Source organism: Homo sapiens, chromosome 12 (genome assembly GCF_000001405.40).
Source record: "Homo sapiens chromosome 12, GRCh38.p14 Primary Assembly".
Lineage (NCBI taxonomy): Eukaryota > Metazoa > Chordata > Mammalia > Primates > Hominidae > Homo > Homo sapiens.
Genome location: NC_000012.12, coordinates 2651255 through 2667700, shown reverse-complemented (window position 1 = coordinate 2667700; position 16446 = coordinate 2651255). Strand labels below are relative to the sequence as shown.

At 44.5% G+C, this 16446-nt stretch overlaps 1 protein-coding gene and 1 pseudogene across 56 annotated transcripts in view, besides 1 other annotated feature; both read right to left on the bottom strand.

Annotated features, from left to right (window-relative positions):
• The window catches only part of CACNA1C (calcium voltage-gated channel subunit alpha1 C), a 727171-nt gene that overhangs the window by 30250 nt on the left and 680475 nt on the right, over window positions 1-16446 (bottom strand). For 55 of the 56 annotated variants that reach the window (XM_017019926.3, XM_017019934.3, XM_017019946.3 and 52 more), the window contains 6 exons: window positions 15933-16061; window positions 13801-13866; window positions 12463-12554; window positions 2711-2876; window positions 1993-2120; window positions 919-1015 (listed from right to left, as the gene is read on the bottom strand). In XM_017019926.3, the coding sequence (XP_016875415.1) occupies window positions 919-1015; window positions 1993-2120; window positions 2711-2876; window positions 12463-12554; window positions 13801-13866; window positions 15933-16061 (678 nt within the window). Of the gene's footprint in view, window positions 1-918; window positions 1016-1992; window positions 2121-2710; window positions 2877-12462; window positions 12555-13800; window positions 13867-15932; window positions 16128-16446 lie in introns of all 56 variants that reach the window. The other variant, NM_001129829.2, reaches the window with a different exon arrangement.
• RPS6P18 (ribosomal protein S6 pseudogene 18) lies at window positions 7155-7805 on the bottom strand (annotated as a pseudogene).
• Window positions 15127-16000: an enhancer, noted in NCBI's record as "H3K27ac-H3K4me1 hESC enhancer chr12:2760867-2761740 (GRCh37/hg19 assembly coordinates)". NCBI's record gives its function as "activates a minimal SCP1, AML or CMV promoter by ChIP-STARR-seq in naive H9 embryonic stem cells {active_cell/tissue: H9 hESC(naive)}" and the evidence as "EXISTENCE:reporter gene assay evidence [ECO:0000049][PMID:30033119]".

Sequence of the window (16446 nt, the reverse complement as noted above, 5' to 3'; positions counted from 1 at the left end):
GTCCGGAGGCCACAACGGACGCACTTTAGCCCCCTCCAGGCTGCACCCCTCCCCACCCTTGCCTTGCATGGTGTTTGTACCTTGCATTTATTTTATGCTCTTTTCTGATATTTTCTATGCCCTTGGAAATCTCTTAAAATCTGTTTTTGTTGTTGTTGTTGTTTGTTTGTTTTTGGAGCAAAGTGGAGGCACAAATGAGAAGAAACTCAGTAAACAGAGCACAAGTAGAAGGTTCTATGTTCCCTCAATCTGCGTTTTCCATGAGTGGATTCTCACAGAGCCGAATCCTCCTGCCATCTGAGTTTCCTCCTCTCTCCAGCCCTCTGGTCTCCCTTCCCCCAGCTCTCTGTCAGCTCATTATTGCCCCAACAAGGAGCACGGAATGGCCACGGTGGAGAGGAGGGAGAAAAGGAGCGTGGAGTGGCCATGGTGGAGGGGAGGGAGAAAAGGAAACGACACTTTTTTTTTGGGTCATGGTCTCACTAAGGAATCTGATTAAAGTGAGAAATCCTCTCCCTGGTAAACTTTGTATTTTAGTGATTTTATGAAAAATTTTAGGACTCAAAGACCCCTGAAGTCAATGCCTGGGCTTTCTAATGGCCTTCCAACTCCAGGAAAAGAACGCCGAACCCCTCTAGCCTAGGCTGGGAAGTCTCCCACCCCAGGATGCCCGGATGGTGCAGTGGGATGGACTGAACAAGTCCTTTATCCAGGACTGGGTCCCTGGCTCAGTAGGACAGGAGGCATTCACTCTGTTATTCCCTCATAGAGTCTGAGAATTTAGAGCTGGAAGGACCCTTAAAATGTAATCTTTAGGCACATAAACTAGTATGTTCATTCCCTTAAAGGATCACAAGAAATGGGCACTTCACTTCCCCTATTTTCCCTCTCCCTCCCATGAACCCCGTTATCTCTTACTTTGCAAGCCACGCGGTGAGGGCACAGCTTCCCAAAACCTAGTGGCGGCTGAATCCGCCGGAGGAGGGTCACCACATCCAGGTGTTTGATACGACCCCTAGAAGAGGAGGGAGAGGAGGGACAGGGCATCAGAGAGCCACGGTCTCTGCCAGCAGCCCAGGACGCATGCGCCTGAGGGGTAGGGCCCACTCATATGGGCAACACTGCACAGTGTGGTAGCCCTATTAGTCACACTCAGTACAGAGTTGCAGAATTGCATGACACAGCCCCAAACCAATATACATATACACGTGTTTAGATTTTAATGAATCATTTTCTGCCCATGCTATGTTCAAGGTGGAAGGGATTTTAGCAGTGCAACAAAATTCTCAATATATACTTGCTGATTGAATGAACTAACCTTCTGACCAAAAGGTATTTACTGAGGGTCAGCCGAATGTGATTGATCTTTAGACCAGAAGCGGGAATGGAATCAAGATTTTCCCCGGCCCTACCTATCCTAACTTGAGCACTTACTAGTTATTCCTGATACTAGAATTTCCTATCCTTCCATTCAACTGAATATAGTAGATATATTATTTTCTTTTTCTTTTTTAGATGGAGTCTTGCTCTGTCGCCCAGGCTGGAGTGCAGTGGTGTGATCTCAGCTCGCTGCAACCTCCACCTCCCAGGTTCAGGCAATTCTCATGCCTTGGCCTCCTGAGTAGCTGGGATTATAGGCATGTGCCACCATGTCCGGCTAATTTTTGTATTTTTAGTAGAGATGGGGTTCACTGTGTTGGCCAGGCTGGTCTTGAACTCCTGGCCTCGAGTGATTCAACCACCTTTGCCTTCTAAAATGCTGGGATTACAGGTGTGAGCCACCCCACCCAACCTAGTAGATACATTCTTGACTTAATTGAAGGTGCCGGGCCTCCTCCTGCTGGCCCTTGACCTTTCACCCTAGGGTGTGATACAATCCAGTGTTTCTAATTGATCCACCCAGTGTTGGCCAACCTTGAGCCCCTCCTGCAGGTATGGTCAGCTATACCCTCTCTCAGCTTGGGGAATCAGGATTTCCCTCTGGGAACTTACTTGGCTTCAGGGTCATACTCTGCCCAGATTCTTTTAAACTCATCCAGGTGGTGGGGACCAAGGATGGACCAGTCCCTTGTCAGGTAGTCAAAGTTGTCCATGATGACAGCTACAAAGAGGTTGATGATCTGTGGGGAACAGTACAATGAGGTGCTGTGAGAAGACCTTCCTACACACCTGCCTCTGGAACCCCCTTGCCAGCTGGGGCCTACTGATGGCAGAAGCCAACATTTCTAAAGACCAGTCATCCATCCTACCAGCCTGAGAACCTGGGTCTCTTGGACATAAACTTGACACAGTTTCCCTGAGAGTTGTGTGTGATGAACCCACAGGTGGGCTGGACAGCTTCCCTCCTACCGAGCTGCTGGGCAGGGCTGTGCAGGACAGAGGGGGACTTTATCCCCTTTTCCTCACTCCTCAGCAAGATGCCAAAAAAGTACAGTTCTTTCTAGGCCCCCACATGTCCCCGTTGTCCTCTGGGACAATGCCACCATGACAACAGCCAAGAACAGACAAGCAAGATGCTGGTGGAGCTCACTCTGGCCCAGGGCTTTCTGCCTTTCTCTCCATGTGGCTGGACACTCCTGCCAACTTAGTCTTCCCAAGCCAGCTCCTCTGATAGGGTTGCCCTGACCATGAGCTGCAGAGATGGACGGTTCAGACTGCCCTGGAACTGGGCAGTCATGGCTGCTGGCTGTTGAGTTCCCCCTTGGCTTACCAGGAAGGCACAGAGCATGTAGAAGCTGATGAAGTAGAAGACAGCAAAGCTGCTACCACAGGGTGTTTCACCCTCCGTGCTGTTGCTGGGCTCGGACTCTGGGGCACACTTCTTGCCTGGCATGCAGGCCAGCATGATGTCCTGCCAGGCCTCCCCGGTGGCACACCTGGAGGGGAGGGAGAGCCACGTTCATGCAGCCCATCCTACAGATGCCAAGGAGGGCCCTCTGCATCCCTCCCCACCTGTCCCTTTCCTCCTTCCCCAGAGGGAGTTACTAAAATGAACTTGATGTTCATCATTCCCTGAATGCTCTGATATATTTGCTAAATATGAAACACATAGCATTATTAAAATTTTATATAAACAGTAACAAATTGCACCTTTTCCGAAAACTTGCTGTTTTTGCAATCCATGTGATGTTTTTGAGACTTAGCCCTTTGGATGTATTTTAGTTCCAGTTCATTCACCTTAACTGCTGTACAGGAGTATGCTCTATGAACTTACCGTAAAAAAATCCACTGTCCTGTTAAGGAACATTTAGGTTTTTCATTTTTTCTTTTACTAGTACAAATAACACTGCAATAAACATGCAGATTTATATCTTGGGTATCCACTTAGAAGTGGAATTGCCAGTTAAACTACATGCATCTTTATTTTTACTAGATATTCCATGACCTCCAAGGATTTGTCCAACTTAGACTCCTATTACCAGTGTAGGAGAAATAACACTACTGTACAAACTCATCAGTTCATTAGTGAATTGTTTTAAATGTTGCTCATATAATTTGTGTGAGATAATATGTCACTGCTGTTTTAATTTGGTTATAAAATGATTAGTGGGTTGAGAACTTAAATTTTATCTTCCATTAAATTGCATGTTCATGTTTTTGCTTGTTTGATTCAGGTTGTCTTCTTGTTCGTTTGTAGGGTGCTTAAGATACTCTATTCTCTGGCCGGGCGCGGTGGCTCACGCCTGTAATCCCAGCACTTTGGGAGGCCGAGGTGGGCGGATCACGAGGTCAGGAGATGGAGACCATCCTGGCTAACATGGTGAAGCCTCGTCTCTACTAAAAATACAAAAATTAGCCGGGCGCGGTGGTGGGCGCCTGTAGTCCCAGCTACTTGGGAAGCTGAGGCAGGAGAATGGCGTGAACCCGGGAGGCGGAGTTTGCAGTGAGCCGAGATCACACCACTGTACTCCAGCCTGGGCGACAGAGCGAGACTCCGTCTCAAAAAAAAAAAAAAAAAAAAAAAAGATACTCTATTCTCTATTCTTTTTTAAAATTTCCAATAGTTTTTTGGGAACAGGTGGTTTTTGCTTACACGGACAAGCCCTTCAGTGGTGATCTCTGACATTTCGCTGCACCCATCACCCAAGCAGTCGTCTTTGATCCCTACCATCCTCCTGCCCTTCTCCGAGTCCCCAAAGTCCATTACATCATTTTGCAAATGGTGCTGCTATAAATGTGTGTGTGCAGGTGTCTCTTTCACATAATGACTTCTTTTCCTCTGGGTGGATACCCAGGAGTGGGACTGCTGGATGGAATGGTAGGTCTACTTTTAGTTCTTTAAGGAATCTTCATACTGTTTTCCATAGTGGCTGTACTAGTTCACATTCCCACCAGCGGGGTAAAAGTGTTCCCTTTCCACCACATCCATGCCAACATCTATTATTTTTTATTTTTTAAATTGCAGCCATTCTTGCAGGAGGAAGGTGGAGTCTCATGGTGGTTTCGTGTCTATTCTTAACCCTTTGTTAGTTATATGCAACAGAAATATCTTCTTCCAATTTGTGGGTTGTCTCTGGTATTATTTACGGTGTATTTTGGTGAATCTAAGTTTTTTATTTCAATGAGGTCAAATTTATAGTTTTTTCCTCTATGTTCTGTGCTTTTTGCATCACGTTTAAAAAATCTTTCTCTATTTTAGGTCATAAAGACATTCTTTTCTGTGTTCTTCTAAAGGTTCTAAAGTTTTGTTTTTCCGCAATAACTTATTGACCTGAAATTTATTTTCATGTTTGATATGAGGTAGAAATATGCTTTTATTTTTTCTGCATAGATAAGTCATTTTGTTAATACTATTTATTGAATAGTACATCTTCACCTACTTAATTGAAATATTTCTTCTGCCGTAAGTTGTATTTGCGTAGATGTGTGGGTCTTGTTCTAGCCTTGTCATTGCATTCCTCAGGTTTATTTGTTTATCTTGGTACAGAAGTACTGTGTTGTCTGCATAGTAAGTTGCCTTATAGTAAGTCCTGCCCTCTCACAGTGCAGGAGTCCTGCCAACCTGTTGTTCTTCAACATTTGTCTTGGCTATTCAGTTTCCTTTTCTATTCCATAGACACTGTAGAATCAGTTTCAGCCTCTGTGAATAATCCTGTTGGGAGTCTTATTAGAATTGCACTGAGATGTCAATTCATTTGCAGAATCCTGACATCTTTATGATATTAAGTCTCCTGGCCAGAAACGTGGCATCTCTCTCCTTTTATTTTGTTGTACATTTAAAATGGTATAGTTTCAACATTATATTTTAAAAGCTATGTCCATTTGCTGCTGATATAGAGGGAATACAATTGATTTCATATTACAGAATATTTGCTAAACTATCCTATCAGTTTTAGCAATTTTCTGTAATTTTTCTTGTATATATACACAGGCAATCAACTTTTTTGGCATTTAATTTTGTTTCTTCCTCTCCAATTCTTATCCTTTGATTTATTTTTCCTGTCTTGTTTTTTTTTTTTGAGATGGGGTCTTTCTCTGTCCCCCAGACTGCAGTGCAGTGGCGCAATCTTGGCTCACTGCAACCTCCATCTCCTGGGTTCAAGAGATTCTCCCACCTTAGCCTCCTGAGTAGCTGGGACTACAGGCGCCTGCTACCACGCCCGGCTAATTTTTTGTATTTTTAGTAGAGACGGGGTTTCACGGTGTTAGCCAGGATGGTCTCGATCTCCTGACCTCGTGATCCACCCGCCTTGGCCTCCCGAAGTGCTGGGATTACAGGCGTGAGCCACTGCGCCCGGCCTTTCCTGTCTTATTTTATTGGGTAAGAGTTACAAAATAATAACATTGAAAAAGTGATAGCATAAGATCTTGTCTATTACATTTACTAATTAGTTATTACCAGTACAGGAAAGCAATTATTTTTCTTTGTTAATCTTTTAATCTTCCACTTTATTAATTCTATTGTCCTAAAGGGTTTTTAGTTAATTTGCATGGATTTTCTACTTGAATTAGCCTGTTGTCTGCAAACAATGACAATTATGTGTACATATTTTCATATTTATAACTGCTTGCTTTTTTCTCTTTTTCTCATTGGCATTAGCTTTATATTAGTCTTATGGAGTGGGTGAAGAGGTTTTCTACATCTTTCTGTTCCTGGAAAGTTTATATAACATTGGAATGATCCACTCCTTGATAGTCTGGTAGACCTCACAAATAAAAATATTGAACCTTGGGCCTTTTCAAAGGCTAAATTTTCAACTACCTTTTCAATTTCTGTTGTAGTTGTTTTTTTTTAATTCTTAAGATAATTTTATAATTCTTATTTTCTACATAAAAGCGTCTGCTTCATTTAGGTTTTCAAATATATTTGCATATTTGTTCATGATGTTCTCTGTCTTCTTTTTAAAAGTCTGATATTATTTGTCTGCTACTCTTAGAAAAATCTTGTGTGTGTGTGTGTGTGTGTGTGTGTGTGTGTGTATGTGTGTGTATGTGTTTAGAGATGGGATGTCACTTCATCACCCAGGCTGGAGTGCAGTGGAGCCATCTTAGCTCACTGTAACCTCAAACTCCTGGGCCCAAGTGATCCTCCCGCTACAGCTTCTCAAGTAGCTGGGACTACAGGCACATGGCACCACACCTGGCTAATATTTTTATTTTTTATTTTTAGAGATGGGGTTTTGCTGTGTTGCTCAGGCTGGTCTCATACTCCTGGTCTTAACTGATCCTCCCACCTCAGCCTCCCAAGTTGTTGAGATTACAGGTGTGAGCTGCCATGCCTGGTGAAAATCTTATTTTTGATAGACTCAGAAGCTCTCAGTGAGCATAGCCTCCATGTCTTGGAAATCTGTTCCTGGCATTTTTCTTTGGTCTCCTTCATTCTCTTGGCCAAAAGTTTAGCATATTGTTTAACCTCTTCCTTATATTTATTTATTTGGAGACAGAGTCTTGCTCTGTCGCCCAGGCTAGAGTGTAGTGGAACAATCTCGGCTCACTGCAACCTCCACCTCCCGGGTTCAAGCAATTCTCCTGCCTCAGCCTCCCGAGTAGCTGGGATTACAGGTGCCCGCCACCGTGCCTGGCTAATTTTTGTATTTTTAGTAGAGATGGGGTTTCACCATCTTGGCCAGGCTGGTCTCGAACTCCTGACCTCATGATCCACCTGCCTCGGCTTTCCAAAGTGCTAGGATTACAGGTGTGAGCCACCGCACCGGGCCTTACTTATTTTTTTTTTTAGTGTTCTGTTTCTTCAGAGCAATACGTCAGCATTTGTGTTGCAGGACATGTGGAGTAAGAAGATGCCGAGTCTTGGGTGCTTTGGTCCTGGGTTCCTGACATCCTTTGTTTAGGGGTTTACTCACTGATGGACATCATCTTTATGGAGAATGAAAAGTTATCGGACCGTGCCATCTCTTTTGGACCCCAGGTGAAAAGGCACAGTAGTATCAGTCAGTCTAGAAATATCTTTCTCTCCCCCCCATCTTTTTGTACAAAAACCAAATTAAGAAGTCAGACTGGCACCCACAATGCAACTCTGAACAATCTGTGCTTTCCTTCTGCAGTTCTCCTTGGTCTATAACAGAATGCCCCGTATGCAGTAGCAGGTGGACACAACCACAGGTCAGGACACACTGCTTCATAGGGAAACCTCGCTTGTCATTTGTACCATTGATTCCACCCACATAAGCCTTCCATTCTTCACCCAGAGTGGCACCAGCGACTTCTGAGGCCATATGCTTCTCATAAAAGGTATGGTTTGCATTCACTGTCCACTTCAATGAGTTTCTGGCAGCCACTGGCTGGGAAGGAGACTTTCTGCTTCATCTTGAAGTAGATGATCACCTCTGAAGTGCCACAAAACAGAGGCATGAAATTCTCTTATCATTCTAAAAATCACTTCCACATCTGTAATTATGTTGCTTTTTGCATTTCTGATGTTGTTGTGTTTTTTTTTAAAAAAATTGGATTTGATGGTTTGTCTGTTTATTGGTCTTTTCAAAGGATCAGCTTTAGGGTTTATTGATAAAATCCATATTTTATTAATTTATGCTTTTATTTTTAAAAATGCATTCCTTCATATTCTGGGATTATTTTACTATTCTTTTCCCCATCTATTAGCTTATTTAATATACAGCTTTTTAGATAAATAAATAAATTTCAGGCTCTGAATTTTTTCTTTGGTGCTGATTGATGCATCTCATACGTTTAAGATCTGGTGCCCTGGCCCTCATTTCTAAGTACAGTCCTGTGTCACTTAACAGTGGGGAGATGCATGGTTAGGCAATTCTGTTGTGCAAACAGCATAGAGTGGACTCACACAAACCTAGATGCCGTAGCTATTACACACCTCAGCTCTGTGGTACAGCCTACTGCTCCTAGGCTACAAGCTTATACAGCATGTGACTGTACTGAATATTGCAGGAAACTGGAACACAATGGTAAGTATTTGTGTATCTAAACATATCTAAACACTGAAAAGGAACAGTAAAAATAGGAACAGTAAAAAAGGAACAGTAAAAAATATTTAAATACGGTGCACCTGTAGAGGGCACATACCATGAGTGGAGCTTGCAGGACTGAAAGTTGTTCTGGGTGGGGCAGTGAGTGAGTGGTGAGTGACTGTGAGGGCCTAGGACATGACTGCACGCTACCGTACACCACTGGAGACTAGAAACACTATAAACTTAGGCTACACAAATTTATAAAAAGTACTTTTCTTTCTTCAGTAATAAATTAACTTCAGCTTAATGTAACATTTTTACTTTATAAACTTTTAAATTTTTTTTAACTTTTGGACTCTTTTGTAATAACGCAACTTAAAATACACATTGTACAGCTGTGCAGAATATTTTTCTTCATATCCTTATTTTATGTTTTTTTAATATTGAACTTTTTTTTTTTAATTTTAGCTTTTTGTTAAAAGCTGAGACACAAACCCACACATTAGCCTAGGCCTACTCAAGGTCAGGATCATCAACATCACTGTCTTCCACCTCCACATCTTGTCCTATCGGAAGGTCTTCAGGGGCACTAACATGCATGGAGCTGTCATCTCCTATGATAACAATGCCTTCTTCTGGAATACCTCCTGCAGGACCTGCCTAAGGCTGTTTTACGGTTAACTTAAAAAAAAATAAGTAGAAGCAGTACACTGCAAAATAATGATAAAAGTATAGTGCAGTAAAGACATAAACCGGTGACACAGTCATTTATTCTCATTATCAAATATTATGTACTGTACATAATTGTATGGGCCATACTTATCTATGACTGGCAGCACCACGAACACCTGAGTAAGGCACTGCACTGCATTTTGATGCTATAGCGTCACTGGGTGATAGGAAGTTTTCAGCTCCATTTTAATTTTAGGCAGTCTGTCATTGGCTGAAATGTCATCATGTGGTGCATGACTGTAGATTGTAGTTTCAGCTTTGAGTTACTAAGAAGAGTGCCAAATTTTTAAGTAGATTTTGGAGGGGTTTTTGTTTTTATGGCTAATTTCTAATTTGGCTATATCAAAGTAGGGGCAGTTGTAGAATTTGTTAAATTCTTTGTGACTTAAATCTTGGCTAATTTTTGTGAATGTTTCTGAGGTGTTTAAAAAGAATGTGTTTTTTTTGGCCATTTACTGAGTATAACTCGATAAGTTCAAGTCTGTTAATTGTATTATTTAGATATTCTTTACCCTTTTTTCTATTTTGGTCTATTTGGTCTGTCATGCTCTACCTGTATTAAATCTTCCACTGTGTGTGTGTGTGTGTGTTCTCCTTATACTTCTATTGGTATGTAATTGATACATTTCCAAACTATATTGTTAGGCTCATGTAGTTTTATGACTATTATATATTTTTGATGGATTATACCTTTTATCAATATAAAATCCCTCTTTGTCTTGTTTAATGCCTTTCACCTGGAATTCTATTTCTTCTGCTACTGCTATTATTACGTCTACATTGTGAGCCTTACATGGTATTCGTTTTTCCATCCTTTTATTTGCATTTTCTTTAGGCCATTTTGTTTTACTGTAGCTGTTATAAACAGGCTAGAGCTAGATTTCTTAAAGCCAACATCAGAGTATCTATGTTTTAATAGTGAACTTTACCTCAATAAGTTTAGCAATTATTATCTTTGTTCTTATTCCTGCCATCTCATTTTATTATTCTAATTTCCATGTTTTATTTATTTTTCTACTTTTACTTTAGCTTCCTTTTGATGGATTGCTAAGTTTTATCCATCCATTTTTTTCCTCTAGTGGTTTAGAATATATACATTCCATTTCTATTTTTTTAGTGATTGACCTTTAAATCTTTAACATATATATGTATACACACTTTTCCCTTAGTTATGTACAGAATTAAACAGTATATACTCTTATCCCCAAACAAGAGAAGAATCTTAGCATGGTTTCATGTTTCTCATTCTTCTACCACCTCACTTCCTACCTTGTAGAGATAACATAAAATATTACTTCCAAATTGTCATTAAGGTTTTGTACATTTTCCCCTTAACAAGTATCTAGACTTTATATAAACTTTATAATGTCCTTGTTCATAACTCATAACTATAAACTTCATTATTTTTTACTCATATCATTACTCTGCTCATTCTATTTCTTTGATTCATTTTTCATTCTGTGGAAGTACAGCCTGAGTAATTGCTCCAGGGAAGACTTATGTTGGGGAGTAAACTTTATGGGTCCTTAAACACTTGGAAATGTCTCTATTTTGCTTGACTACTGGAATGCTGATTAGACTGTATTTAGAGGGCCAGATTCAAAAATACATTTTTCCTCATAATTTTGAACATATTATTCCATTGTCTTCTATTACATATATACTTTTGTTAATGAGAAGTCTAATGCTAATGATGATTTTGAAAGTAATTCCCTTTTTCCTCTTTGGCAACACTATTTATTAACAAGGCTGTTCTTTCTCCACTGTGTGTTCTTGGCACCTTTGTCGAAAATCAACTGGCTGTAAATGAGTGGGTTTATTTCTCAGGTTTCTCTCCTGAGCCATTGCTCTATGTGTCCGTTTTTATGCCAGTACCATGCTGTTTTGGTTACTGTAGCTTTGTAACAGATTTTTATATCATGCATTGTGGTGCCTCCAGCTTTGTTCTTCTTGCTCAAGATTGCTTTGGCTATTCAGGGTCTTTTGTGGTTCCATATGAATTTTAGGATTGTTTTTTCCATTTCCATAAAAAATGACATTGGCATTTTGATAGCAATTGCATTGAATTTGTAGATTGCTTTGGGTAGTATGGTCATTTTAACAATATTAATTATTCCAATCCATGAACACAAGATATCTTTCCATTTATTTGTGTCACCAACTATTTCTTTTATCAATGTTTTATGAGTTCTCAGTTTAGATCATTAAATTTATTCCTAAGTATTTTATTTTAGTTTTTTGATGCTATTGTAAAAGGGACTGATTTCTTAATTTCTCTTTCAGATAGTTCATTGTTAGTGTAAATAAATGCTACTCATTTTTGTGGGTTGATTTTGTGTCCTGCAACTTTACTGAATTAGTTTATCAGTTGTAATAGATTTTGGTGGTCTTTAGGATTTTCTATATATAAGATCATGTTATCAGCAAACAGAGAAAATTTCACTTCTTCCTTTCCTATTTGGATAACTTTTTAAAACTTGCTTAATTGCTCTGGCTAGGACTTCCAGTATTATTATGTTGAATAGAAGTGGTGAGAGTGGGCATCTTTGTCTTGTTCCTCATCTTAAAGGAAAAGCTTTCAACTTTTCACCACTAAGTATGATGTTAGCTGTGGCCTTGTCATACGTGGCCTTTATTGTGTTGCAGTACCATCCTTCTATGCCTAATTTGTTGAGAGTTTTTATCATGAAAGGATGTTGAATTTTGTCAAATGCTTTTTCTGCATCTATTGAGATGATCATGTGGGTCTTTTTTCCTTCATTCTGTTAATATGGTGTCTTACATTTATTGATGTGCATATGTTGAACCACCCCTGGAATGAAACCCACTTGATCATGATGTATCATCTTTCTCATGTACTATTGGATTCAGTTTGCTAGTATTGTGTTGAGGATTAAGTGAGGATGACGCCCAGTGCATGTGGACATAAGCGCCCAGCACGGCAAATGGCACAGGTGCTGGTATAGTGATAGATATCTGTACTTATTGGACAAGAAAACTGAGGTTCAGAGAAGTTAGATATCTCACTCAAGGTCACAAAGCGTGTCGGCAGGTTGGCTTTGGGCCTGTTCAGATTCCAAGCCAGGCTGCTTTTAGCATGTGACTTTTGCTCCCCTAATGGTTTTGTCTGGTTTCCAGCAGGTGTGCCAGTGCATAGTGGGTTGCTCTGTGGAAAGTTATCATAAATGACAATGGACCCACTGGCCTCCTTGTCAGGCAGAGAGCAAGCAACACATCCTCTCCCTTCCTACTCCCCGGGAAGCAGTTCCCTTTCATTCTACCACCAGGCCACAGTGTGGCACCATGCAGGTGTGTGTGTATCTGTGCACCTATGTCTTCAGGGACCCACCTGAAGAGGAGCAGCACGGCCTGGGGGAAGGTCTGAAAGTTGTTGTTCCGGTTGATCTCTGTGGTATCATTCAGGGCAATTTTCCCAAACACCTAGGAGAGAGAAGGAAGAGGTGTTCAGTGATTTGTGGACAGATAGGGTCCTAATTTCCCACCATTGTTCAATGGTCTCTTCAGGGGTCTCAGGTGTCCCTGGAACTGGCTGCCACAAGCTGAACAGTCTTCCCATGCAACCTGGCAGGCACCTGCTGCCCCACCCAGCCCCTGAGCCCAAATCCCTACACTGGACAAGCATGAGAATCAAAGTGCCCACAGCCTCAGGAAGGTCCCTGCAGCCCAGTGGGAGCTGGGGCTGAGAGCGGTGGATGCTGGGACCGGGATCCTGCTTCTGACAGGACACAGGACGCACTGCGTTATTTTCTTTGCTATTTCAGTTCTGCATGTCCAAGCACTCTTTCAAATTTAGTTCTTGCATTTTGGAGTGATGTGGAGTGAGTGATCTGAGGCTAGGGCAAGCTTAATGCATTCCTGAAATCCCTTTTCTTCCTGGTCTTTTAAAGCTGTGCTTATCTTAGAAACTGCCACCTTTATCAGGTATCAAGGTAGCTCTTTTAGTCTCAAAAGGTTTTGGCAACTGAATCTTGGGTCTTTCTGCGATGAGCAAGTAGGGGACTTCCTGAAGGAGCGGCCGAGGAAGCGCTTTGGGCTAGTGTGGGCGCCCTGCCAAGTTTGGCCTTGGGACTCAAGCTGGAGCCCCAAGACGGGAATGGAGAGCCCTAGGTTTGCGGTGAATGGTGCAGTGGGCACCTGGGAGGGGAGGCCCCAGAAAACTGCTGCACATTTGATGCGGTGAACCTTGTGTTGATTTGGCCCTTCCTTGCTTCCTTCTTCCCTCCCTCCCTCTCAGCCATTAGCTTCAAATGAATCTGGTTGGGGTAACTCTCAGGCCCATCAGACCTGGACACAAACAGGGGTGCTGGACACAAACAGACACACCTTGCTGCTGTTTCTTGAGAAGGGGCTGTGTCTGTCCCGAGGCCCCTTGCATAACTGGAGAGTGTCTTTCCTCTACCAAGAGCAGAACCCAGGCCTCGGGGAGGGAGGCTCTCTGGGCTGTGTATTCTGTACCGGGACATTCTCCTGCTACCTACAGGAGATCCATTTGGGGAAAGTTCCAATTCCTGTGGCTTTTTGGGCCTCAGAAAATGGAAGAGGAGGGAGAGGGACAGTCAGGAATGAAAGGGAGAAGGGAGGGAGGAAGGCGTTAGGGAATGTGGTGCTGGGAACTGGGGAGAGACAGAGCGGGAGGCCAGGAGCCCCGTGGTGGGAGCCTCCCTACCTGCATCCCGATCACCGCGTAGATGAAGAACAGCATCACGATCAGGAGGGCCACATAGGGCAGGGCCTGGAAGGAAGTGCAGGAGACTCCCATGAGGCTGGAGTGCAGAGGCCAGCTGGGCCCCTTCCCAGGGAGCGCCGCATCCCTGTCTCTGCAGCCATCAGCTATTGCCCGGTTTGGGCCGGGGGACACTTCCAAGAGTCCCACAGGACTACGGGGAACCTGCGAGAAGGTCTGAGAAACCGGAACTGACTTCCCATTTCAGCTTGGTTTTCAAAGCAGGCCGCAGAGTAACGATATAGTGCGACACTACCTGGGCAAAACAATCAAGAACGAGCAAAACCTCCTCCGACTACACATGTGCGGTGTGTCTGTACGAGGCAGGAGAAATCGTGGAGGACAGCACCCCGCTGACTGTGGTTACCTGTGGAGGAGTGGGGTGGTGGCAAGTTACACCCTTTCTTTACACAGCTTAATTCCATCCCACTAGTTGTAGTGAGCGGGTATTACTATTGCAATGGAAACATTTAATAAGGAAAAATTTAAAAGAAAGATCATGGGTTCAAATCCTGTTTCTGCCACTTTCTATCTGTGAGGGTTGGGGCACTTAACTTCTCTGAACTTCAGTCTCCTCATCAGAAAAATGGAAACAATAATAATACCTCTCAGCGGTTTTGTGGTTGAAAAGATTTAAGGCTTATAAAGTGCTTAGTGCAATGCCTTGCAGAGCTGGGTTCCATACGCTCTATTCGCTCCATGCATTATCTGCCTGGCAACTCAGACAACTAATTTTCCAGAGCCCCCGTGACTTCTGGGGACAGGCCATGGTCCCCAGGATGGGAGGCCCAGCCCGTGTTCCCGGGCGCCGCTTCAGCCGTGGCCACCGGTCACTAGAGGGTGCCGTCAGAGCAGGCGCCAGCTGCCTGGCCCGAACGCCTGCGCCGCCATCAGGCCCTCGCAGTCACCCGGTCTGTGCCTCTTCCCAGCCCCAGGAGATGTCGGGGGGGCAGGGAGAGTATGGCAACTCACAGCCGTGGGTTCCGCGTGCACCCAAGTACAGAGTCAGCGGCAGTCCTGCTTCCGCTGGTGTCTACTATTCCGAATCCCCAGAGCCTGGGCTGAGCTGGGCTCAGAGTGCAGGAGCCCCAGCTCATCACTAGGCAGGGGTCAGCCTGGCCATTGGGAGCTCCCTCGAGAGCCTTGGATGGTCAGTCCCTGGCAGGAGGCTGCTGGGGGCAGAGCGGGGACGGGCATCTTTCCTCACCTGGACCAGGCCCAGGCATGCCCTGTCCCCGGGCAGGGACTGGCCAGGGTGGGGCACACAAAGACCATCTTCCCTGACAGATTCTCGTCTTGGAAAGGCTGAGAGCGGCCCCTCCATGGGGGGAGAGAAGCCTGCGTTCCGCCAGCCCAGGGAAGCATGAAACCGCCTTCACGGGTTCTGCGCTCATCTGGGGGAAGTCAAGTGACCCAAGCGCTTTGCTTCTCCTTAACTTCAAACCTACAAAGACTCCTCCGAGCTGGCAGGGGCTGATTGTCACTCTGTTTTAATGGGAAAACAATGGCTGAGCGGAGGAACTGATCACATGGCCAGGCAGTCCTGGGCCCATTCGAAGGGCCTCTCTAGCCGAGCGGAGGACACCAGGGTCCTGCGACTCTGGCCGAGGACATGACAGGTGCTGTCAGCAGATGCTGCTGAAACGCCTACGGGGAGGAGGGCGATGGCCAGATTCTGGAAATGCTGAACTCGAAGGGCCATAGCGGTCACCAGGTTGTCCAGGCCCGTGTTTTTCAGGTTTGTTCCTTACCACAAAACCCCTTTGTCCAGTAAATTCTTGTGCAGAAAGACATAAACGATGGTTAAAAGTAAGGCAGACCCTTTCTGCCTCCCCTTAGCTCCCATCCCTCCTTTACCACCTGGCCTTCTGGGGCTCTGAGCCTGCCTTGGAAACCACATGCTTCGTCTAGGCCTCTCGGTGCGGAAACAGGGAGCCAGGCAGAGCGGCCGAGTTCTGCCACACAGAGGAAGGAGCAGGGCCCCAGAGTGGAGGGCTCCTCCTTGTGTCAGCTGTGTTCTGGGCCACGCGGCAGCCCTGCGATTCCCCGGGCCGCAGGACATGAGGGGCGGCTACCTGGAAGGACTTGATGAAGGTCCACAGCAGCGTCCGGATGCCCTCCCCACGGCTCAGCAGCTTCACCAGACGCATGACCCGGAACAGGCGGAAGAAGGTGATGGAGATGCGGGAGTTTTCCTCTGCGTTCTGGAACCCGTCGGCAACAGGAGGTGCAGTTAGCACAGCAAGAGGGGGGTGAGAACAGGAGGGCCCCTCCGAGAAATACAGACCTCAGTGGCAGTGGCGGAAGGCAGGCCAGGGTTTGCTGCACTAGACTTCCCCCTCCGATGGGAGGGCGGCCGCCCACTTTAATGAGTGGACAGCCCAGCCCCATGGTCTCTGCAGAGCTAGACTGTGCCCAGGCCGCTGGGCTGTGGTCCTGTGTTTTTATTCTCCCCGATTCCCCTTCATTCCTAGTTCTTAATGCCCTGGATGGAGGACAGACGACTCCATCAGGAACTACCATAGGCTTTGGAATCTTCTAGGCCCAGAGCCAGCTGCCCTGGGAACCCCTCCTCTGCACTGCTGAGGA